General features: G+C 32.3%; 1 long non-coding RNA gene across 1 annotated transcript in view; it reads left to right on the plus strand.

Annotated features, from left to right (window-relative positions):
- LOC105371657 (uncharacterized) overlaps positions 1 to 26686 on the plus strand; it is a 453818-nt gene that overhangs the window by 403062 nt on the left and 24070 nt on the right. The window contains exon 4 of the long non-coding RNA XR_002958413.2: positions 15505 to 15571. This is a non-coding gene — a long non-coding RNA (uncharacterized LOC105371657). The remainder of the gene's footprint in view (positions 1 to 15504; positions 15572 to 26686) is intronic.

A 26686-nucleotide genomic window follows, 5' to 3' on the forward strand; every position in this document is an offset into this window, starting at 1 on the left:
CATGCTTGTATACTAAATTGTGTATACAAAAATATATATGAATACATGTGTGTGTAACTATCTATATTTATATGAAGCCATTAGATAAGTTAACTAGAACTGTGATTGCTGAATGGAAAATTTATGTTTAGCTTTCTAAGAAACTGCCAAGGAGATCGAGACCATCCTGGCCAACATGGTGAAACCCCATCTCTACTAAAAAAATACAAAAATTAGCAGGGCATGGTGGCACGTGTCTGTAATCCCAGCTACTCGTGAGGCTGAGGCAGGAGAATAGCTCGAACCAGGAAGTTCGAGGTTTCAGTGAGCCAAGATCACGCCGCTGCACTCCAGCCTGGCGAAAGAGTAAGACTCCATTTCAAAAAAAAAAAAAAAAGGTAGTTATACCATTTTGCAGTATGACCAGTAATGAATGAGAGTTCCCTTAGCTCTGTATTCTCACCAGCAATTGATATTGCCAGTATTTTTTTTTTTTTTTGGTCCTTTTAATAGGTGTGTAGTGGTATATCATTGTGGTGTTCATTTATATTCGCGTAACAAGATGATGTTGAACGTCTTTCATATGCTTATTTGCCAGGTGTACATCTCCTTTGGTGAAATATCTGTTCAGAAATTTGACTATTTTTAATTGTGTTGTTTCTTTTCTTAATGTTAGATTTTAAAGTTCTTTGTTCATTTTGGATCCAACTGTGCTTTCAGATATGTGTTTTGCAAGTATTACCTCTCATGCTAAGGCTTGTCTTTTAATTCTTTTAGCACTGCATTTTGCAGAGCAAAAGTTTGTAATTTTAATGAAATCCAACTTATCTATTACTTATTTCACAAATCTTGTACTGCTGTTGTATACAAAAACTGAGCCACATGAGGGGATCTTTCTTGGATCTTAAATATGAGAATATGGTGAAATGCCTAGCGGTAAACCTCTTGAAAGCATGGTCATTCCCCTAACACTGCAGCTAAGAAATGTGTAACTCCAAGGTAGTTTACACTCAGCTCCTAGGAATTCATCAAAATTACCATTTAAGTGTTTATATCAGTTTATGGCTCCCACAGCTTCTACTCCAGAAAATCAGAATTTGGCTGTGATTCTCTAGATTCACGTGTCTTGTCAGAGTCCATGGTGGCAATTTGCCGTGCAATGTGTTACCTGATGAATATAAGAAAAGCCATTGATTTCATTAAGCGTTTTGTTGTCCCAAATGAAATGTTTTGTAAGAACCCATGTGTCAGCTTCCAGGCTCTTTACATGTTGGAGCTGAAACTGAACATCAGCAGTATTTTTTCAATATAAGTTGTACCTTAGTAAATTTGACTTAAAATGAAGAAAGAAGTAAAAATCAAATTTCACTCAGTTGTAGAATATACACCATGGCAGAAATATATATAAACAATGGCAGAAATATATATAAACAAGCAATGCATATAAAATCATTTATGAATAGGAATTCCGCTGCCAGCATGCCACAATATTTATCTAATATACTTGATCAATTTAGGAAATGCACCATAATATGCATGTGTGTCATATTTAATTTTTCCCTTTTGTCAGGGGATTTCTTTTTGATTGATCATCTTTAAAAATACCTAAAAAATACCAACTGTTACATAAATATTTAATAAATGAACAAACACACACTAAGTATAAATTTATTATGAACACAGTTAATCAAATTTTTAGAATTCATCTGCCAGCAGTGTCAGCATTGGTAAATAGAAGAAAACTAAGGAAAAAAAGAGAAGTTTTCTGTGTTTATAGTCATGAAAGTTGACAGCAAATCTAGCTGTGCTATTAATTCACCAAGGCAAACAATTTTCCCTTTTCAGTGAATATTTTAAGTAGTTTTGAACTTTTCACGTTTGCTTTTATTCACAAATATTCAAGAGTTTATATATGCATTAGGAGGAAAATATTTCTAAGGCAAACATTACATAGATTCTATATTCATCATGCAAAGGTGTCATAAACACATATAGCAAGCCTTGGATAATTAAAGTAAATGTAGGATTTTGGGAGAAAAAACTTAAAGGGGAAGATATAGCATAACTACTGTTTCTTGCGTTTTCATATTTAAATGGTATAAGCTGTACAGAGCTGTCTGTATTCTCACCAGCCAAGATTCTATCAGGAATGAGCCTTTCTGGATATACTGGCTTGGCTTTGCATGGCACTAAAAATGTGTGGAGAGAGTGAATCCAAACTTCCTTTTGTCTTACATATTTATTTATGGGTTAGCTTAATAAGGGCTAGGGAACATTTAGTTTTCCAAAGTAATAAGAAATTTATCAATTGATCTTCAAGCCCAAGGATTATATTCAAGAGGGTTAAGGTCTGCACACTAAGTACCTTTGGAAAGATCTGGCTGCTCCAGCAATGGTTATATTAGGTTTCCCACATAGACTGTCTCGGTCCAGTTGGGCAAGCTCTGTGAGCCATGAATATACACACACACACACACAGAAAAAAAAAAGATAATTAGTCTCCAAGACCATATTGATTTGTGTCTCATCAATACGGTAACTTTAAACATTACAATAATATTTTACAAATGCAAGCCAAGACTGTTGAAGTACTTTAAGGCATCCTGTATTTCATGCATCTAAGTGAAATGTACTAGGGGATATGCTATTGGGGTAATCATTTTAATATAAAAAGATTTTAGGAAAAAAGCCAAAATGTTCATAAAGAAAAGTTTAGTTTTTAAGTTTATATTTTCTGAGAATATGAAGTCACAAAGTGTCAATATGTTTTTGTTGATTTATATATGAGAAGATGTGACAGTTACAGGTAGATAATCCAATTGTTCCATCAATATGAACTTATTTAGACATAAAATAAACTCTTCTGATGTTTTAGAAAATGAATTAACCAAAACTGCCCTACTGGAACCAGCTTTCTTTGTACTTATTTCCATCTCTTCATTACACTACCTATTTATCCTTTTAGTAACATCTTCAGTGTGGATCAATCTAAAGTATTATCTGAGGTAATTAATTAAGTTGAAACTATTTTTATTAATCTGTACATCCATTGGCTTCTTTTACAATAAACAGCAAGAGTGGAAAAGGGTTTTAAAATAAATATGAATAGGAGTCAGAAATCAAAATCCTAGAAACAGAGACATATGCCAGGTTAAAAGACTTGAAGCAATTTCTATGGAAAATTAAGATTTTCATGTCTCCTCCATGTGTGAGTGTCTCTCTTCATACAATGAGACTTAACAATATAGGCTCCTTTGTAACAGCTAATTATTTTGCATTGGTCCATATAGCTCTTGGACAGATTTAAACATTTAGACGTGTTAAGAGAAAAGTAGTAGACCTAGCATTATATGTAGAATCATAGAGTGGAAGCATGGTATTCTGCCTGGAAGTCATCCTCTGTGACCTGTGGATGTTCCTGGTGTGTGGGTTAAGTAAGTAGCTTGTTACTCAGCAGATCCCCAGAAAAGTCCTGCCCCTAGTGGATCTCATTCAGCATCCCAACTCTACCTTTGCTTCTACGGAAAATAAGTGGAAAAAAAAAATCATGCCTGGAAGTAATTAGTACATGATCATGGCCACCTGGCGCTGCCTACTGAGGGACACCTCAGGACTCAGCAGATACCTCAAGGACCTGCTGCAGCTGAACAAACTGCTTCACAGTGGTCTCAGGGACTATGCCTAGGTATGTACAAAGGCTGGAGTTTCCAGAAAGCAATCCCCAGGACATGGAGAAAAGTCTGAGCAAGAAGTTATTGAGGAACCTACCATGTAGTTTTGTTATAAGGGCTTATAAAGTTGAAAGAGACTCTTCTAAACCATATTGTCCACATTGATTAATTTTTTTACAAAACCAAGCAATCATGCTAGAAAAAAATACAATTACATTTCCATTCTCACTACAGAAAGCAATTTACAAAGTTTGTGTCACATGAAGAAACAAGAATATCAGCTAAAAAATGTAGAAAACAAAATATCAAGCAGTTAATTCAAAATGGTAATCCTAAAACTTTTTTGAAGAGTCTCATGCTCTATGAACTGAATTAGCCAGGCCCTAAAATTTTAAAAAACATTTTTACATGACTGAAAACCTTTTCTTCTTATCCCAGCCCCTGGCAACCACTATTATACTCTGCTTCTTTAAATTTCACTACTTTATATACCTCAAATAAGTGGCATCATGTGGTTGTTGCCCTTCTATGAGTGGCGTATTTCACTCAGCACGATATCCTCAATTTTGATCTATGTTGTGTATTTAGTTAACTATATGGTACTAGATCCTTAAAAATTTGATAACTGAGTAGGTATGATGTGGTTCTTACCATTGTAAACAAATATATAATCCTAATTATAATCATAATGATAATAACATTTTTCTGAATGTTGTGAGGTTTAGCTCTCAGCTTTTATTTAATTTTAAAATTTGTTGTGATTTATTTTATTGATATAGATCAGTATTTATTTATTGAGTGAATTTGATATTATTTTTCTTATTAAATATATCTACAGATTTTATAATCTTCAGGTCTCTCCAAATCTGGAATTAACTTTTTAAGTGAAGAATAATTTGTAATTAGATTTCTCAATTTGTTTAGCATGTTTTTATCTGTACAGTTTACTAATTACACATTGGAGATTATTTTATAAAAACGTGGATGTGAGGTACGTTACCAAATAACTTCATGTGCAATTTATAACTAAGCTATTAACACACTTCAAAATAATGATTGAATATTTATGTCCAGTTATTATTTTAAAGTATTTTGGTGATACCAGAGGAAGCATAGAATATTCTATGAAAATAATTTGAATCAAGAGTGAAATGGGTTTGTCAGATGAGATCTGCAGTCAGGAGAAAAAAAAAATGACTGGGGAAAGCTGTTTACACTAATAGTTTTACCAACCAATACTAAGAATTTTCATTTTAAGACTTCAGGAGGAGAACATTGGTCAATGCTATTATTACCACACTTGGTAATTGATATGGTTTGGGTGTGTCTCTACCCAAATCTCAACTCAAATTGTATCTCCCTGAATTCCCCCATGTTGTGGGAGGGACCCAGGAGGAGGTAATTCAATCATGGGAGTCTGTCTTTCCTGTCTCGTGTTATTCTCGTGAGAGTGAATAAGTCTCATGCGATCTGATAGGTTTATCAGAGGTTTCTGCTGTTGCTTCTTCCTCATTCTTATCCTGTCAGTGCCATGTAAGAAGTGCCTTTTTCCTCCTGCCATGATTCTGAGGCCTCCCCAGCCATGTGGAACTGTATGTCCAATTAAACTTCTTTTTCTTCCCAGTCTTGTGAATGTCTTTATCAGTAGTGTAAAAACGGGCTAATACAGTAAATATAAAGCCAATTGAAATCCACCCTCAAATGTGTATGAGAATAGTAAAGGGAAGCTATACTTCTTTCTGCATAAATTTAGAAATTAAAAAAAAAACCCTAAATATACAAAGCTTTCCAAGTAAATAATCATTTAAACAAGTAAAAACTCCAGCTGGTGTAGCTAAGGAATGGCCTGTTTTTTAAATCCCAGCACTTTGGGAGGCCGAGATGGGTGGATTACTTGAGGTCAGGAGTTCGAGACCAGCCTGGCCAATATGGTGAAACCCTGTCTCTACTAAAAATGCAAAAATTAGCTGGGCATGGTGGCACATGCCTGTAATCCTAGCTACTCAGGAGGCTGAGGCAGGAGAATCGCTTGAACCCAGCAGCAGAGGTGGCAGTGAGCTGAGATTGTGCCACAACAATCCTAAGCAAAAAGAACAAGTCTGGAGGCATCACACTACCCAATTTCCAACTATACTACAGGGCTGCAGTAACCAAAACAGCATGATGCTGGTACAAAAACAGACACATAGGCCAATAGAACAGAATAGAAAGCCCAGAAATAAAGCCACACACCTACAACCATCTGATATTTGACTTTCTCTCTTCCTATATGTCATCTCTGATTTATTTGAGAATTGAATTTTAAAATAGTTTTTTTCTAGTTAGATAAATAATGTTATTGGTAGTTTAATAAGAACTTCCCAAAGCAATGTAAAGAATGACTCTTACATTGCTTTGGGCAGTATAGCCATTTTAACAATACTGATTCTTCCCATCCATGAGCATAAAATATTTTTCCATTTGTTTGTATCATCTCTGATTTCTTTGAGCACTGTTTTAATTCTCATTGTAGAAAATTTTCACGTTCCTGTTAGCTGTAATCAACTCAAAATGGATTAAAGACTTGAATGTAAATCCTAAAATTGTAAAAACCCTGGAAAATAACCTAGGCAATATTATTCTGGACAAGGAACAGGCAAAGATTTCATGACAATGACACCAAAAACAATCACAACAAAAGCAAAAATTGACAAATCAGATCTAATTAAACTAAAAGCTTCTGCACAGTGGAAGAAACTATCAAAGAGTAAACAGACAACCTACAGAATGAGAGAACTATGAGACTAGAGTTTTCTAGACATAGAATCACGTCATCTGCAAATAGGGATGGTTTGACTTTCTGCCCTTTTTATTTGGATGCTGTTTGTTTCTTTCTATTGCCTTATTTGTTTTGTTCCTTCAATACAAAAACAATCAATTGGGAAAAGAAACCCTATTCAATAAATGGTGCTAGGATAACTGTCTAGTTATAAGCAGAAGATTGAAACTGGACCCTTTCCTTATACCATATACAAAAGTCAACTCAAGATGTATTAAAAATTCAAATGTAAAACCCAAAAGTATAAAAACCTTGGAAGATAGCCTAGACATTACCATTCTGGTCATAGGAACTGGCAAAGATTTCATGACAGACACCAAAAGAAATCACGACAAAAGCAAAAATTGACAGATGGGGTCTAATTAGTCTTTACAGCTTCTGCACAGCAAAAGAAACTAAAATAGAGTAAATAGACAACCTACAAAATGAGAAAAAATATTTGTACACTATGCATCTGACAAAGGTCTAACATCCAGCATCTATAAGGAATGTAACCAAATGTACAAGAGAAAAACAACCAACCACTTTAAAAAGTAGGCAAAGGACATGAACAGATATTTTTCAAAAGAAGGCACACATGTGGCCAAAAAACATGTGAATAAAAGCTAATATCACTGATCATTAGAGAAGTGCAAGCCAGAACCACAGTGAGATACCATCTCACAACAGTCATAATTGCTATTATTAAAAAGTAAAAGAGTAACAGATGCTGGCAAAGTTGTAGAGAAAAGTGAACTCTTAAATACTGTTGGTGTGAGTATAAATTAGTTCAACCATTTTGAAAAGCAATATGGCAATTCCTCAAAGAGCAAAAATAGAACTACCATTCAACCCAGCTATCCCATTTCTGAGTATATACTCAGAGGAATATAAATCATCCTACTATAAAGACATGCATGTGTGTGTTCATTGTACATGGAATGTGTTCATCCCATGAACACACATTCCATTTCAGAGCAAAGACATGGAATTGCGTCCGGAATTTATTCCTTCTAGTGGGTTGTTCGTCTCACTAACTTCAAGACTGAAGCTGCAGACCTTTGCAGTGAGTGTTACAGCTCTTAAAGGCGGCGCATCCAGAGTTGTTTGTTCCTCCAGGTGGGTTCGTGGTCTCGCTGACTTCAGGAATGAAGCTGCAGACTCTCGTGGTGAGTATTACAGCTCATGAAGGTAATGCGGACCCAAAGAGTAGCAAGATTTACTGTGAAGAGCGAAAGAACAAAGCTTCCACAGCGCGGAAGGGTACCCAAGCAGGTTGCCACTGCTGGCACACGTGGCCAGCTTTTATTCCCTTATTTGGCCCCACCCACATCCTGCTAATTGGTCCATTTTACAGAGAGCTGACTGGTCCATTTTACAGAGTGATGATTGATCCATTTTACAGAGTGTTGATTGGTGTGTTTACAATCCTTTAGCTAGACACAGAGCACTGATTGGTGCTTTTTTACAGAGCGCTGATTAGTGCATTTACAATCCTTTAGCTAGACACAGAGTGCTAAATGGTGCATTTTTACAGAGTGCTGATTGGTGCATTTACAATCCTTTAGCTAGACACAGAGCGCTGATTCGTGTGTTTTTACAGAGTGCTGATTGGTGCGTTTACAATCCTTTAGCTAGACAGAAAAGTTCTCCAAGTCCCCACTGGACCCAGGAAGTCCAGCTGGCTTCACTTCTCAGAATCAACATAAATGCCCATCAATATTAGATTGAGTAAAGAAAATGTGGTACATTGTGCACTATGAAATATTTTGCAGCCATAACAAAGAATTAGGTCATGTCTTTTGTGGGAATATGAATGCAGCTGTAGGCCATTATCTTTAGCAAAATAATGCAGGAACAGAATATCAAATACAGAATGTTCTCACTTATAAATGGGAGTTAAATGATGAGAACTCATGCACGCAAAGAGGGAAACAACAGACACTGGGGCGTAAAACTTGAGGGTGGAAGGTGAGAGGAAGGAGAGGAGCAGAAAAAAATTTGCAATCTGTTCAAGTAAATCTTTCTTACAATTTTATGTTGTGGATTGTTTTATTTTCATTTTTGCTAGAAATAATTAATACTTTATAGTACATGCAATTAAAGATCTGACTTAGGGTTAAAAATTACTGTAGAATGCCTACATTTATTTTCACCCAATAGTGAGGGTTTTGTCAGATTTTTTTATGCCTCTTATGGTCTACCGTTATTGCTATTTTACTAATAGGTAAGATCATTTTGATTAAAGTCAGTAATTTGACATCTAAATTAAAACAAAGTGATTAAACTGACTTTATCTGGATTACTAGTAAAATGAATAAATCCCATGAAATATAGAGATAAATAGTTCCTAAATAAAATTCTTTAAATAATTAATTTGCACTGATATATTACTATTATCACACCTAAATATTTAATCTTTTATAAAGGTATTATTTTTACATAGGCTATACAATTTTAAGTTAGTCAGCATGATTTCATAATTCCCAAACTTCTTAAGAGAGATGCTTTTTAAAAAATCTTTATTGTCTCAATTCAAAATAACAAATCAAGTGCCCTCTCCGCGTTAGATATTATATTAAGTCTTAGGAATTCAGGGTGGTACCATCCACATCCTCAAAATTCCTAACTCTTATAGAAAAAAGTCTCACTCTCATGAAACAACACAAAGGGATTCTGTGTTATTTTCTATGCTGCTAATTATATGTGAACTTCAAATATTTGTCAGGCAATACAGTTTTTAAAGTGAGGAACTTCAAATTGGAGGACATACATAGCTGGGACAGAATCAACTGTTAGCATGGGACAGCAGGAATTGTGGGTGTTTTAGGGCTATATATATATATTATATATAATTTATATTATATATATAATTTATATTATATAATTTATATTATATATCTTACATAAATTATATATATATATTACATAAATTATATACAATATAAATTATATACAATATAATTTATATATAAAATATAAATTATATAAATAATTTATATATAAAATATAAATTATATAAATAATTTATATATAAAATATAAATTATGTATAAAATTTATATATAAAATATAAATTGTGTATAAAATTATATATAAAATATAAATTGTGTATAAAATTTATATATAAAATATAAATTATATATAATTTATATATTATAATATAAATTATATATAATATATATCATAAAATATAAATTATATATAATATATATCATAAGATATAAATTATATATAATATATATCATAAGATATAAAATATATAATATATAAGATATAAAATATATAATTTATATCATAAGATATAAAATATATAATTTATATCATAAGATATAAAATATATAATTTATATCATAAGATATAAATTATATATAATTTATATCATAAGATATAAATTATATATAATTTATATCATAAGATATAAATTATTATAAATTATATATAATTTATATTATAAGATATAAATTATTATAAATTATATATAATTTACATCATAAGATATAAATTATATATAATTTATATTATAAGATATAAATTATGTATAATTTATATTATATATAGTATGTATTTTATATAATATATATTATATAATACATATTTGGTGAAATAACATATATAATATATATAATGAAATAACATTGGTGAAATATATATATATATATATATATTTGGTGAAATAACAATTAGTCCTTTCAGGCTAATGACCAGCCCTAAAATTTACATTTGCCCTTGAAAGAATGGGTCCGCCTTAACTTCTGAGGGTGCCTACTGGTTTAACAAAATGCTACTGAGAAGAGTGAGAGTGTTGGAGATGACTTAATAAACAAAGTCTAAAATAGCTAGTCACTTATTCAACAAAGGTGTGTGTGGGTGTGTGGGTTACGTTTTGAGCAGCTACGTTTGTTAGGTACTGTTCTTGACGGTGAAAAACAACATTATGACAACAAAAACTAAACAAAAATATCTGCCCTTGTAAATCCATGCTCCAATGGGAAAAGAGAAAGTAAACAAATACATTAAAATTTGAAGCATAATTAATAAAATGCATAGTAGGTTGTAGGGTACTAAATGAGGAAAATAAAGCAGGAAAGATAAATAAAGGTTGTTAGTATTGGTTGAAATGAAGGTATGTTGTTGCAATTTAAAATGGAATTAGACACAAATGACCTCAAAGAGTAAATAGCCTATGAGCAACGAGAAGGTGCTGAGGAATTCCTGTATCCTGACAAATATTTGAAGTTCACATATAATTAGTAGCATAGAAAATAACACAGAATCCCTTTGTGTTGTTTCATGAGAATGACTTTTTTTCTATAAGAGCCTGGAATTTTTTAGGATGTGGATGGTACCACTCTGAATTCCTAAGAATTAATATAACATCTAACACAGAGTGGGCACTTGATTTGTTATTTTGAAATGAGAGAATAAAGATTTTTTTAAAAAGCATCTCTCTTAAGAAGTTTGGGAATATCAGAGGTAACATAGGCAGAACAACTTCAAATACAAGGAACCTGAGGTGGAATCATGTCCACCGTGTTTATGGAACAAGGATGACAGTGCTAATAGAGAAGAGTAAATCAAAGGGAGCAACACAGAAAATTCAACCCAAAATGCACAAACAAAAACAAAAAGAAACATAACGGAGCTGACTACTTTAGGGTAAGAGTTATAAGGAACTCAGTCTTTATTGTGAAAGATTACCTTGTTGAAATATTTGGGGCAGAGTAGTGTCGCAATATGACTTAAATTTTATATGTATTACTGTGGCTGCCATCTGTAGAATAAACAGATGAAGGCAAGAATAGAAGTAGAAGTAGGAATATCTGTTAGAAGATTTAGTAATTCAGAGAAAAGGTAATGAGTCTGGGTGAAGGTTGTAACATTGAACATTAGCGGTGGTGAGATGTAGTCAAATATTCATTGTATATAATTTCGGCAAAAGAATGTACTGAAGGAGTGCATGTGAATATTAGGAAATTACAACCGTTAAGAATGGCTGAGAGACCTTAGGCTTGAGATACTGGAAGGATGGATGTGTCACTTACTGAGTTAGAGAAGTCTAGGAGAAACAGATTTGGCGGAGTGGTGGTGAGTATGTTAAATTCTGATACATAGGGTTTGAGATCCCTGTCAGACTTCCAGGTGGAGATAGGAAATAAAATTTTCCATGGTAGTACTCTTGTGATACTATAATAATACATTTGAATTATGACATCTGAAACAATACATGGGAAATCTATAGCATAATTAGTTTAAAAGTCAGAGTTTCAAAGCTTTTGGTGAGTACTAATTTTCCACAATTTTCTACTCACCCTAAACAAACTATAATTTTGCTATTTCATTGCTTATTGTTAACAGAGTACACTGAAATGATCACATCACTATTTCTTTTATCTGATAACCTAACTTTTAAACATAGAATTTTAATCAGAAAATGTAAAAAAAAGGTAGCAGTAAATTATTTACTATTTTTCAAGAAAAGACAGTTTTCATCTACTGAATGCAATCATGCACAAATTGTAAAATAACAATTAATTTTAATTATTAAAAAGTAACAAAATTACCACAGAATGTATTTACTTAATATATTTGAACAGGCTTATTGTAGCCTTTCTCTAAGAAAAAAAAAGATACAGCTTTTTTAAAAAAATATGGATAACTAGAATTCTTTAATCAGTGATTTTGAATTCAACACTTGTCAAGATCCTGGAAAAGTAACAGAAATAAAGATGCCCTGGGCATTTTTAATAAAGATGCTCAGCTGAGACAACATCTTATATTGTGCCATCACCACTGAACGTTGTGAAAAACTTCCCATGTTAGTCTGGTCTTGCATTTCTATAAGGAAATACCTGAGGCTGAGTAATTTACAAAGAAAAGAGGTTTGATTGGCTCCTGGTTCTGCAAGCTGTAAAGGAAGCATGGCACCAGCATCTCTTTCTGGTAGGGGCCTTGAGAAGCTACAGTACTGGAAGAAGGCAAAGCAAGATCAGACACATCACATACCTAGAAAGGGAGCAGGAAAGAAAAGAGGGAGGTCCTAGACTCTTTTAAACAACCAGGTGAACTAACTGAGGGAGAATTCACTCATCACCAAGAGGACGGCGTTAAGCCATTCACGAGGGATCTGCCCCCATAAACCAATACCTCTTACGAGGCCCCATCTCCAACACTGGAGGTCACATTTTAACATAACATTTGGAGAGGACAACCATCCAAATGATGTCACTCCCTGACTCATCCCTACAGCCACTCAATAACAGACAATTAGGGTAAAATAACTCAAGTTAACTGATGTCCTGTATAAAAAGTATAGAGAATGTCCATTTAGAAAGTTTCCTGCAATATCCAAGAAGTTCTAAAGCAGGATATATATATGGAGAAATCACATTATTTATGAAGAAATTCATCAAATTCTGTTGATGTTAGTACCTGTATCTCAACTAGTTATTATTTACATCAGCATATTGACCTGAATAAAAATCTTCCCTATAGTACTTTGTATATACTACAGATGTTACGTACATTAAATTACATTATTTGTGTTACATTATGTTGTATTCTACTGTGTTATGTTATATGCTATATTATGTTATAGTCTTTACTATTATCATATTCTGTTTAGGGCTTAATCCTACCATTATCTAAATTATGAGCTTCTCATTGAATTTAGAAACAACTTTCTGGCCGGGCGCTGTGGCTCACGCCTGTAATCCCAGCATTTTGGGAGGCCGAGGCAGGCAGATCACCTGAACTCAGGAGTTCAAGACCAGCATGGCCAACATGGCGAAAACCCATCTCTACAAAAAAAAAAAAAAAAAACAAACTTAGCCAAAACTAGCCAGGTGTGGTGGTGGTGCACACCTGTAATCCCAGCTACTAGGGAGGCTGAGGTGGGAGAATCATTTGAACTTGGGAGGCGGAGGTTGCAGTGAGCCAAGATCATGCCACTGCACTCCAGCCTGGGTGACAGGGTGAGATTCCATCTTAATAAATAAATAAATAAATAAATAAAAACTTTCTAGCATTTATATTTATTTACTTACAATGTCTGTACCAATTATATAAGAAAATACTCAATTTGTTGTTAAATAAAAGTATGAATTAAACATACGTCTTATTATATAAAGTCAATTTGGCATCTGTGCGGCTATTAAGCATGTTAGACTCTGATAAGTTCACATAGCCATCTAAACAAAGAGACTACATCTTCCATTTGAAAGGCATCTGATTTGAAGTTAATTCTGGAAACGGCGTTGTCAATTTTTTTTTTGATAATGTCACATTCGTCCAAATCTAGCCTTGGCCAAGCCTTAATCTCAATTGCATATTATGTATTTTATATACATCATTTTCAGTAATGCTGCATGTAATCAGTCTTTTGGGTCATTAAGTATAACTGCATGTTCCTATACCAATGTGTAATATGTTGCTAATGGAGCTTCTCTTAGAAGGCCAAATTGTCTCTTACTTTTCTCTACTTTGATACCTCAGTGTTCCACCTGTCTCTGAGCAATACTAAAAATACTTTTCTTATCTGGAACTCCAATCACTGAAACACAAAGCTACGCAGAAAATCTTTGACGTGTAAAAATTTGTGAATTACAGATTTTTTTTATAATTATAACTGAGGTTCTAGTACAAAAATAACTTCAGTCCAATATGTTCAATTAATGGTATATCTGATAAGTTTCATGTCTAGAAAGGTAGACTTGTTATACTTTAGAAAGTAAAGCAAAAGGAACTTGATCACATCATAGTAAATTGTCCAAATATTCAGAAAGAGGACTTTGAAAACCTAATGCTGATAAACTTATAATTGTACTGCTTTTAGCATGTTATTTTTCTGTGATAAAACATTAGAAGTGAACTACCTAGAGACACTTTACTTATCTTTTCCCAGTTTTTGTGAAAAACTATGCTGTGTCAAGTTTAGAAAGTGAGATTTTTGGTAAAATAGAAATTTAAAAGCATTTATATTCCTCTTTGAAACCATTAAAAGCAATGTCTACACTTGTAAAAAAACAAATTTACCTTGTGTGGAGCAATGGTTGAAAATAACGTTAAATATACATACACTTGCACAAATCTTAAGGAGATAAACATGTTCGGAAAAGTTTTAAAATAATGTCTTCACTTTTTTGTTACAATTCTGTGAAAAGAAAATTATACATAGTTTTCAAATTTACTTCCTTTACAAAATTATATTACCTTTATATAAAAAAGATATGCTTAAGAAAGTCACTTTAAATTGAACTGTTTATAATTTTGTAATAGTAATGGTAAACGGATGCTTTACATGGGTTGTTATCCTAATTAACCCTAACTGGTAATATTCAAACAGATGATTTCTTAAGTGACATATTATGATTATGTACATTCACTGAAATAAATATGCCTAATACTATTCAGATACTTCTCTTTTTCCTTCAGGATCATTTCTTTTAGCAATAATATTCCATATGCATGACATGTTAATGGTCTCTTTTCATGGAAATTGATGAAGTGTATGTTCAAAAAGGATAAGTGTATTAAAATCAAGCAGTTTTGAATTATTGTGTTTAAAAAGATTAATGAGCAATGAGCCTTACTCTTTTTACCAGGCTTGATATGAAAAGTCCTAAAATTTGAGTTTAGTTTATAAAAATATAGCTACTAGCATATACAAGGGGAATTATTATTGTAACAATGCATTTTGAAGTATGACTTTTCAAAAATAACGACAGAGGAAAGAAAGAGTGGCAGGTGCTTAGCACAACTGTCTGCCAAAATAATACTATTTTTATCAGCAGTGTAAATAAAATATTCAGTCAACATTTGCTTATTTTTTGACATCTTGCCAACAGCATGTTAGAATGAGTTTCTTGTACTGAATAACTGAGATAGAATAGTTTGACACTGTGCTTAGGGAGTGAACAGGCTACCTCTGTTATGATTCTTGCAGACTGCAAAAAGGGAGAGAAAATAACAGTTTGAAAGTAGTTTACTGTTTGATTTGTTTGTTTTATTGTATTATTTTATTTCAAATGTAATTTATTGTTTTATTGTTGTCTTTCAGATCACCTGTAGACCCAAAACAACTTCAAATAGCCATTTCCTTCACTGCTGTGAGCAGATGTAGACAGGTATGTGTTCCCAAATGTTAGAATTCTTAAGAGGAAAACTAGCAGAGGAAGGGCATACTTGATAGACAGTGTAGACTGTGCCCTTGAATCAATGTCTTACTCCCTTTATAAAAACATGTCTTTTAAAAAAAAGTGGGGCGGGGGAGAATTTTTCGCACACATTCAAAATGTACAGTCAAATGTTACCAAACCTAATGGTGTTGGGACAACTGTATATCCATATACGGAGGAATGAAGTCAGACACTTATTTCACGCTATATACAAAAATCAACTCAAAGCATTAAATGTAAGACACGAAACTGTAAAATTACTAGAAGAAAACATAGGGGAAATTTTCATAACATTGGTTTGGGCAATGCTTTTTTGAATAAAACCTCTAAACCACAGGCAGCAAAAGCAAAAATGGACATATGCAATTACATCAAAAAGCTCCTGTGCAGCCAAAGAAAAAATCAAGAATGAAGAGATAGTCTACAAAATGGGAGAAAATACTTGCAATCCACATATCTGAAAAGTGGCTAATATCCAAAATATATAAAAACTCAAACAATTCGATCAATAAAACAAACAAACAAACAACAACAACAACAAAATGATTAAAAACTGGGCCATAGACTTGAATAGACACTTCTCAAAAGAAGATATACAAATGACCAGGGGGTATATGAAAAACTTCCAAACATCACTACTCATCAGAAATGTAAAAGAAAGCCACAATGAGATATCACCTTACACCTGTTAGGATGGCTGTTGTCAAAAAGACAATGGATAACAAGTGTAGGTGAAGATGTGGAGAAAAGGGAACCTGACCAACTATCGGTAGGAATGTAAACCATTATGAAAAACAGTATGAGAATTCCTCTAAAAATTAACAATAGAACTACATTGTGATTTAGCAATTTCACTCGTGGTTATATATCAAAAGGAAATAAAAACAGGTTGTCAAAGAGATACCTGCCTTTCAATGTTAATTGCAATGTAATTTACAATAGCCAAGACATTGAATGAACCTGTGCCTATTAACGGATGAATGAAAAGACAAAATATGGTGTATAATATACAATGAAATACTATTCAGCCTTTAAAGAAAGAGAAATCTTATTTGTGAACCTAGAGGACATTAGGTAAAGTAGAATAAGCCAGACACAGAAAGGCAAACTCTACATCATCTAACTCAAATGTGGAATCTAAAAATGCTGAAGTCATACAAGTAGAGAGTAAGGCTGGTTGTTACCAGGGGGTTGGGGAAGGGTAGTTAGAGTGATATTGGTTAAAGGATACAAAATTTGAGTTATATAGGAGTAATAAGTTGAAGAGATCCATTCATAACAAAGTGAACTAATTAATAACAATACATCATATTCTTGAAAATTGCTAAGAATGTAGATTGTAAGTGTTCTCACCACAAAAAGATGAGTATGTGAAGTAATGCATATGTTAATTCATTCCATTTGGCCATTCCACAATGTATGCACCTTTCAAAATAACATGTTGGTACACAATAAACATATACATGTTTTATTTGTCAACTAAAAACAAATGAATCAAAAAGAAAAACAAACAAAAACAAAATAAACAAATAATGTTACCAAACCAGTCAGAGAAGACACAGATATCTGTGATCCATTTCTTAAATATTTCAGAATTTTAGCAGAAGAACATCATTTGAAAATTTTGCACTTAAGAAAGGCTAAGCTTGATCTAATCTGTATGAGTTTTATTTGATTTTAGCAAACGTGTTTCTGGAATAAAATGTCAGTCATAATTATTTTTCTTTTAAAGCCTGAAAAATAGCATAATCTCTCCTACAATAATTATTTGCAGAGGTCCATGGTTATATATGTCCAGCATATAAATCAATGATTTTGTGTCTGTTAGCCTCCTAACAGAGGAAAACTTCATTTACTCTTTCCCTGTCCCTTTGTGTGTGTCTGGGGAACTGTGTGTTTTGATACATAGGGATTTAGTGGAGTATTTTCCCATGTCTCTATCACATTTATGTAAAATTATCTAAGGCTGAAAGTCTGACAATAACTAGCAACAAGACGACCATTCTATGGATGATTACAAAAATCACTTTACTTGATATCCGACTTACTGGATATGATCTTTGAAAATAAGTCAGTTACATGAAGAAATGCTGTAAGCATTATATTTCACTCAAGAAATTTTAAAACCACCATAGACTTGAATAGACACTTCTCAAAAGAATATATACAAATGACCAGGGGGTATATGAAAACGTTCCGAACATCACTAGTCATCAGAAATGTAAATGAAAGCCACAATGAGATATCACCTTACACCTACAAAATCTTTTCATTTAATTATATACTTCCCTCTTTTGATATTCTTCACTTTCAACAATAAATTTAGATAGATGATCATATGAACACATTTCAATATTGCTGGAAAGCATTTCAGTAACTTTACTGGAAAAAAAATAATAGCATAGAATGTAACTTAATGATAACAAGAGACTTGTTTGCCGTGTTCAATACTGAATAGTCAGTTCCAATCAGTGTGCCTGGTACATGAAAGGAGTTTTTTTTTTTTTTTTTTTGGAACTTGTATGTATTTTTTAAGTAAGTTGTCAACAAGTTAGGGTAAAATAAGAGAAATTTCACGTATGTACAATAAAAAATAAATATTTTGAAACAGATTTTAATTTTAAAATGCTGATTTTATTTATAATCTGTAGAAAAAAACATGAAAATAGATATTTATTAAATAGAAGAAGCTGTTATGACAACATGGATAAGTCTTTGAGTATTTTCTAGGACAAAGTTGTTTACACTTAAGAAATAAATTAGATATAGAATATATAATTTATATTTCTATATATAATATAGAAATATATAATATATATTAATAATATATTATATAATATATATTTTATATATATAATATAGAAATGTAAAATTTGCAGTAAAATTTAAAAAGTGTAAGACAAACCATACTCTGTACAATAAAGAATTAAAACATAAATACTTCAATGTCATAAATATCAAGTAACAATAAATAAATATATTAATTTTTATAGGATGCATTATTTCTGTTTAACAGTTTTAAGTGACTACAAAAGAATACCTCTTTTGGCAGGTCAATATTAGAATTTTAATGATCACATTATGTTGTTTATGCCATAGGTTTCCAAAAATGTCCTGGCCTACATATATGTTTTGTATATTAATCTTGGAAGGATAATCCTTTATTAGCAATAATTTTTAGAAAGAAAAATTTTAAAGGAAAAATTACATTTTATGTGTAATTTTCATCTTTTCCCTTAGCCTGCTGTGTTAATTTCCTAAGGCTGCTATAACAAGTAACCACAAACCCGGTGTCTGTATTAGTCCATTCTCACACTACTATAAAGAACTACCTGAAACTGAGTAAGTTATAAAGAAAAGAGGTTTAATTGACTCACAGTTCCACAGGCTGTATAACAAGACATGGCTAGGGAGACCTCAGGAAACTTACAATCATGGCAGAAGGGTGAAGAGGAAACAAGCATGTCTTCATATGGCGGCAGGAGAGGAAGAGTGAAGGGAGAAGTGTTACACACTTTTAAGCAACCAGATCTCATGAGAACTCCCTCATTATCATGAGAACTCCCTCACTATCATGAGAACAGCAAGGGGAACATCTGCCCCCATGATCCAATCCCCTTCTACCAGGTGTCTCCCCCAACACTGGGAATTATCAACGTTGGGAATTATCACATAAAATTTGAGTGAGGACACAGAACCAAATCATATCAGTGGCTTAAGACAATAGAAATGTATTATTTCATAGTTCAGGAGGCCAGATATTCAATAGGAAAGTGATGGCATGATTGATTTCTTCAGGAGGCTTTCAGGGGAAATCTTTCTTATCTTCTGGTGTTTTCTAGCAATCCCTGGCATTCCTTGACTTTAAGCAGTGTAACTCCAATCTCTGCCTCCTTGTAACATGGTATTCTTTGCTTTATGTGACTGTGTATTCATGTAGCCTTCTTACAAAGATACCAGTCTTTGGGTTTAAGGTCCACATTAATCCAGTATAGTATGACATCATCTTAACTAAGTGCATTTGCGGAGACCCTGTTTCCAAATAAGTTAACTTAGGATCTAGGTGGACAAGACTTTCTGGAGGACGCAATTCAGCCCAGTACATTTGTTTACTGATTATATATCTATACACACACACACACACACACACACACACATATATATAATATATATTATATATACACACACAGACACTATATGTTTATACATACAATTATACATACAATATATAGTATAATTATATATACATATAGTGCATTATATATGTATAATTGCAAGTGTGTGTGTGTATATATATATATATATAATTTTTTAAGGGAATAATGAGTTTTGCATCTGCCATAAAATCTTTTATTCTTCTTGTTAGTGTAAACAAATGGGAGAAGAAATAAGATTTGACAAATATGCCAGGGCAAGATTACAGAAGGACATATACATTGTGGTAAAAATAATAATAATAATAATAAAAGTGATTGCTACTTTATGGCAAGAAGGAGCAATAAAAATTTGAAAGTACTTATGTAGCATCTACTCTGTGGCAATACTATACAAGAATATTCTGAAGAGAGGATAAGGAGTTAAAAAGAAACATGGCTTGATATGTATCACAGTTCAAAAGGAAACCATTGTCCATTGGTAAACGTAGCACATTTGGGTTTGTTAAGCTTGAAATTGAAAAAAAAAAAAAAAAAAAACAGGTAAAAAAACAGGTCTAGCCAAGCTGAAATATACCTAGTGTAAATAAAATAATAGGATGAAGTCCCATGATATCTCAGTAAGAAGGCATAAATACATGATCAGGGAAGGGATTCAGAGCTCTGCAACATTGGCAAGGTTTTTACCACAATTATGGTATTTCTTGGCAGAAATAAAAAAATTGGGATATAAAATGAAACAGGCAGTTAGAGTTATAACTGGGTGTTGAATAAAATTAGGGACAGAGGTGGAGGAAGGAAAGAATAGATCACCTGCAAGAGTGGAAGTTGAAAAACAGAAAGTATGAGAACATTTTGTTTAATGGAAAAACATTTGATCAAAGAATAGAGATAGTAATATTTAAACATCATATTGGAGTAAACTAGGCAAGTACTATTGTTAAAAAAATCCCCAGTTCTAAGAATTTTCTGTGTTTGTAGGGTGGCTAATTTCTAGTACTTAAGTCCAGAGCAGTCTCTGATGTTAGTCACAGTGCTGTCAAATTGAATGTTGTTTACAAGCTATTGACAAAATGTCACATTTACTTCAAGTGTATTTTACTATGTAGTTCAAAGACTTTTCCAAGATACTCATTTCTGGGAAAAATATTAAGGGGTGTACATTTGGCATTGAACACAGAGTATTTGATTTTAGATTGCATTTTTCCCCAAATCTTTAAGGATTTGGCTCAAACATTACTGTGAATTTAGAATTTCTTTTGTAGAGGAGTACAGTTATTTTAACAAAGATATGAAAAACTGATATGCCTATTAAAATTTCATTGAATCAACTTAATTAACTTCAATTTAATTCATTTATTAACATAAATTTAGGTTTCCTTAAATAAAAAAACACCCTTAAGTTGCCTTTAGCATTTAGTCTTTAACATAACTTCATGCTAGTTAAAATAATTTGCAGACAGTGCAGTCCTGTAATTTTAGTGTTACATTATACTTTATATAAAATGCATATTAAATCTAAATGTTGCTTCTTTGTTTGGTATTGTGGAACTGTATAGAAATTTACCTGTATTATCAACTTACAGGTGAACTTGCCTTAAATTGTAATAGTTGCCATCTATTTATGCTTTAAATGCTTTAAAAATATTGAGCAGTTATATTTAAGGATATACAGATGTTTCATACTACCATATTATAATTTAGATTTTAAAAATCTTTCTTGTGTATTCTGGTTTAAAGTCCTGGAATACTTATTGATATCTTACTTATATCATGATAACAAGGCTGCAGCTAATTATACTGTGCTTCCAAGCAAATGTCTGTACCAGAAGATAAATGTTGAAATTAAGCAAGAACTGTATTTTACTCAAACAGAAAATTCTATTTACACTTAGAAAACAAAATAAAGATTTGATGTACTCATATAGAAAATAATTACCTTCATGCCAGAAAGGGGTTCACTTACAGCACACATTCATTCATTCTGTCAGATAGTTGGTTAAACAGGTTTGAGCACCTCCTGTGAGTTGGGCACACAGTGTACTTACTGCATGTTGTCCAAGCTTTTCACATCTGTTATAATGAGGGGTACAGATAATTTCGTATACTTTATCTTTTGAATTTGTTTTTGAATACTAACATGACCTCCTCACATATAATTGTCAATGCTGCTCTTAGATAGTATCAACTGGATATTTACTATACTTAATCACCATGACTGTCTGTAGATATATCTATATCTAATACATAGTATACTAACTTTTCACCCATGTTCAACAAGCTTTAAGTATTTTCTTTTAATATTAAGTATCCCATGGTTGTTTTTGGTTTTAAATTAAAAGCTCTTAGAGCAGATGGTTTTTGCTTTGTTTTTGGTCTTTTTTTTTTTCTATGAAGTCAAGTGGATAAAAATTCTAGAAGCACAAATGTATACCACTATCCCAGTGAAAAGGTAAATTGTTAGCTCCCCATTTACAACTTTTGGCTATTTAACACATCATCAGGCGTAAGTAGCTTTTGGAACATTAAAACAGGAAGGTGGAATTCAAGTCTTCTTTTTTTTTTTTTTTTTTTTTTTTGAGACGGAGTCCCTCTCTGTCGCCAGGCTGGAGTGCAGTGGCGCCATCTCAGCTCACTGCAAACTTCACCTCCCGGGTTCAAGCCATTCTCCTGCTTTACCCTTCCGAGTAGCTGGGACTATAGGCACACGACCACACACGGGTAATTTCAAGTCATTCTTAATCACTGATAATCTCTATGTGCAATTTAACAGTATGTACCCCCCTCATACAGGCAGAGTGACAGTGTTTGGATTGGCTTTTTAAAACAAATTATATCCTTTTGCCCTTTGTAGGCAAAAAAAATTAGAGTATCCATGATAGTAGTTTCAAGACAGTGTTTTCTTATAAAATAAAAATGAAAGAAGTATATATGTATGTATATATATATGTGTGTGTATATATATATATATATACACACACACACACAAACAACAATAGCCTTTTAAAAAATGTGGAATGTTATTGTGGAAACAATGTCACAGAAAAAAATGGCTAGAGAAAATATGAATCAGCATGAAATGAGACATTTTGAGGGTTATTGAACACTATTCATTTTCATGGAAATAGGACAAGGTTATTTAGCACAGGTGTTTCTGTAATTGTGATACATTAGCAAAATTAGCTGTGTTCAATGGTCCTCAAACTTGCTCTGCCACCTGTATGTGAAATGGCCTACCATTAATACAAAGAAATTTGTTGTGAAACATGTACTGTAGAATTAAGTTCAAAACCTATTTGTGGTTAAATTGCCTTATTTTGTTAAATAAAACTTTGCTCCCATCATTTTTTTTTTTTTCATCCATAAGGGAAACAGAAAAGGAAAATATGCACACAATATGCTAAACTCTTAACCAATGGAAGAAAGAAAATATTCAAGAAAAACAAAGCAATTGTGTAGATCACAGTATAGTTTAAAAGTACTCTAATATTTAAACCATGTCCAACATTTAAAGCTGTTTTTATGCAGAGTGTGATTGCTTTTTCATTAATCTCTGAGGATTCTAGATAGAAATTTAAAAACCCTGGGCCCAGCCAATTAAATGTGTCTCTTAGAGTATCCTAGTGATATTTATTCACTTTCAAGTTTTCCAATCATAGATCAGATGGTTACAGATGCATGGAAGTTATGTGATTTTTAAAAACAAGAAAATGTTATTTAAAATATCAATATTCAGTGCTTGCATTTGCAAAGAAAAAATAGATTATACTAAGAACATTCTTTAATAATGAGCAAGCAGAGATAAAATAAATGTATTACTGTTCTAATTCTGTAAAAAGTAAGAGGGTGTCATGAAATTATTAATATTTTACTTAAATTTGTTTCCAAATCACTGAATTCAGAATCAGAATTACCAAAGTCACTGGGGTTTGATACTTCAGGATTAACATCTTTCATTGGATTTTTTAAAAATCAAGTAAAACTGTGACTACGTAGTATTAACCACTATATTCATTTATTTCAGTAGAAATTAAATATATATCTATACAGTATTCTTAGGTGAAATTGTTGATTGGATAGCTAAAAACATCAGTTCTTAATAAATTGCTTTGTCATTGTTAAGGTAAATCTTCAGAGTTTAGACTTTTTTAATTAAGATTTGACTTGTAATTTGCATATAAATTTGATAGTTTGATTTGTCATAAACAAATACTGAATGATCAGAGAAAAGTGTTTTAATACATCAAATTAGTTCAGTGGTACCAGCAGTTATGTAAGTATTAGTACCTGTGTCTTGGCGGGGTAGTCTTTTGTTTAAACTGTCAAGCCCATAAACAATCATTGGCAATAATCAATTAATTCTGATTCCTTCTCTTGGGACCACATGAACTTTTATCTCTGTCTCCATTCCTAGACAAATCTAGAAAAACTGCTTATCATAAGATAGACTTTTGTCAGATAATATAATAAATTCTCAGGGTTGCAACTTCTTGGATAGATATTTCTCTTTTGGAGTTACAAAAACGTCCTATCATGTCAACCATTCTATATACCAGCAATGTTATGTGACTGTGACTTAACATTCGGTTTTTCATTTTATTCATTTGGAAAAATATTATATAATAACTATCCTGTTGACTTAATAAGATAAATGTTTGACATAAACACTGCAATTACTTCATGAAAAAGATAATGATGTTCTTCTAGACAAAAAATATATGTGTCCATGACCAAATAACAGCTCTGTTTCTTGAACAGATTTTCCTGGAAAATCACAAGCCACCTACTCAGAACATGGAGCACCATACGCATTACTTTTTAAAAGTTAAATTTGCTGAGATTTTCTGATTCTCCTACCTCACTGCGAACTCTCAGTACTAACAGTTAATAAGATAATTTTGATCTATTTTGGCCCTTTTTACTATCTGCAAAATCTTTCCTTGCACTGCCTCTTCATCTTTTATATCTGGATTGAAACTGACCGTGATATTGTCCGTAGCTCAGGCACTGTATTCTAAATTTTAATAAGATCTTTAATTTTTTTTTTACTTTTTTTACATGTTTAAATTGACAAACATTAGTGGCATATTTTATGGGTTAAATGTAATTTTTTAAATGTAAGTATATATTATGGAATTACTAAAACAAGATAACTAACATCTTTCTCTCACATACTTATCTTTTGTGGTGAGAACATTTAAAATCTACTGTTTCAGCAACTGTGAACTATACAATGCAACGTTATTCACTATGGTCACACTGCTGCAGAGTAGATCACTAAAACTTCTTTCCCCTTTCTAACTAAAACTTGTACCATTTAGCAAACATCTCTCCGTTCCCCATCACCCCTTACCTCCTAACCCCTGCCTTTAGTAATCATTATTCTACTCTCTACTTCCATGAGTTTGACATGTTTTAATTCAACATAAATAAAATTATACTTCAGCACCTGACTTATTTCACTTAGCATAATATCCTCTTGATTTATTGACATTGTCTCAAATGACAGAATTTCCTCATTTTTTAAGGCTACAGAGCTTAATATCAAAGGAAGCACCTTGTTATTGCAGATGCCATTATAATCATTATGATTTTGTCTTAACTAAACATTGTTTGTATTGTCAGTACCATGCCTTACACATGGCAGGGACTCAACATGTGTATAATAAATCACTGAACAAATGAACACCTACATCAATTTTTGTGCCCAGATCACTTTTTAAAGTACTCTTCTGATGGAGTCAGAGTCCCTTGACAGATCTGGACTAATTATTCTCTTCCTGGGCTTGCACTGATAAGAAAATAGCATCATAGCAGTCACAATCTTCATTGACTAATTCTGAGAGATATCAGTGACTATTACTGACTGTAAGAGCTTATGTCTTTTTTATTAAACATAACTATTTGCTTTGAGAGAACAAAAGACATGTTTATAAATATGAGCATTTTTATTTGCAGTATAGAATATATTAGATGCTTGGATAGACATATTGATGGATATTACAATTTTTCTTTTATCATATATGTATTTATTAAGCACTGCTTTGTGACACCAGTTTAAAATACATGTTAATTTCTTTCATTTAACCAATTACAATGTAAAAGTTTCAAGAATGGCACAAAGAAACAAGACATTCTTATTGTTCAAGTGAAACAATATTGTTGGGTATAATCAAGTACGTTTTTAAAAGATGATTTTGTGAGGTCAATGGCAAAACAGATCACAAATGATAAAGAATTTCACATATCATTGTTTTGTAGTAAGTAACTGTCAAACTTATGCTTCTGATAATGACAAACAAGATACCTTAGAATAATTTAAATTATTTTTGTATGTAAGACAACATTTTAAGACTATAAAATAAATAGAAGGTAATCATTTAATTTTTTTTCACTAACAGTGGCAGAGTTAATGCACTGTCAAGAATTGCCAGGCTCAGATCTAGGAGAGAAAAGGCATTTACAGAGATAGGAGCTGCTTTTGCCCTGGAGTCGTTTGTTATTTTAGATAGGACATCTAACCAGTTTAGTGAAACTTTGGCTAAAGACTTGAAAACCTAAGGAAGCAAGAGTTGGAAATTAGGTCCAATAAGTTGTGAGGACCCGGTTTGGGCAAAGATACTAAAAGTTATTAGTATACTAAATTAGTAAAAGGGAATCAGAATTCAAGCAATTTACCACATGCAGGCTGGCTGTTATTCACCTGAGTGGCCCAGAAAATTTCAAACTCTGAATTTTTATTAACGTAATTCAGAATTTTGACTGCCCTTATCCTTTTGGCAAAAACAATTGACAATCATTTGAGAGAAAACATTATTCAGGCATCTAAAGACAGTCCAAATCAGTTTTTCATATACCACATTTTGTACATCCACTCAAAGAAATGAGGTTCGATGAAGAGAAGACACTG

This window comes from Homo sapiens, chromosome 1 (assembly GCF_000001405.40).
Source record: "Homo sapiens chromosome 1, GRCh38.p14 Primary Assembly".
Taxonomy (NCBI): domain Eukaryota; kingdom Metazoa; phylum Chordata; class Mammalia; order Primates; family Hominidae; genus Homo; species Homo sapiens.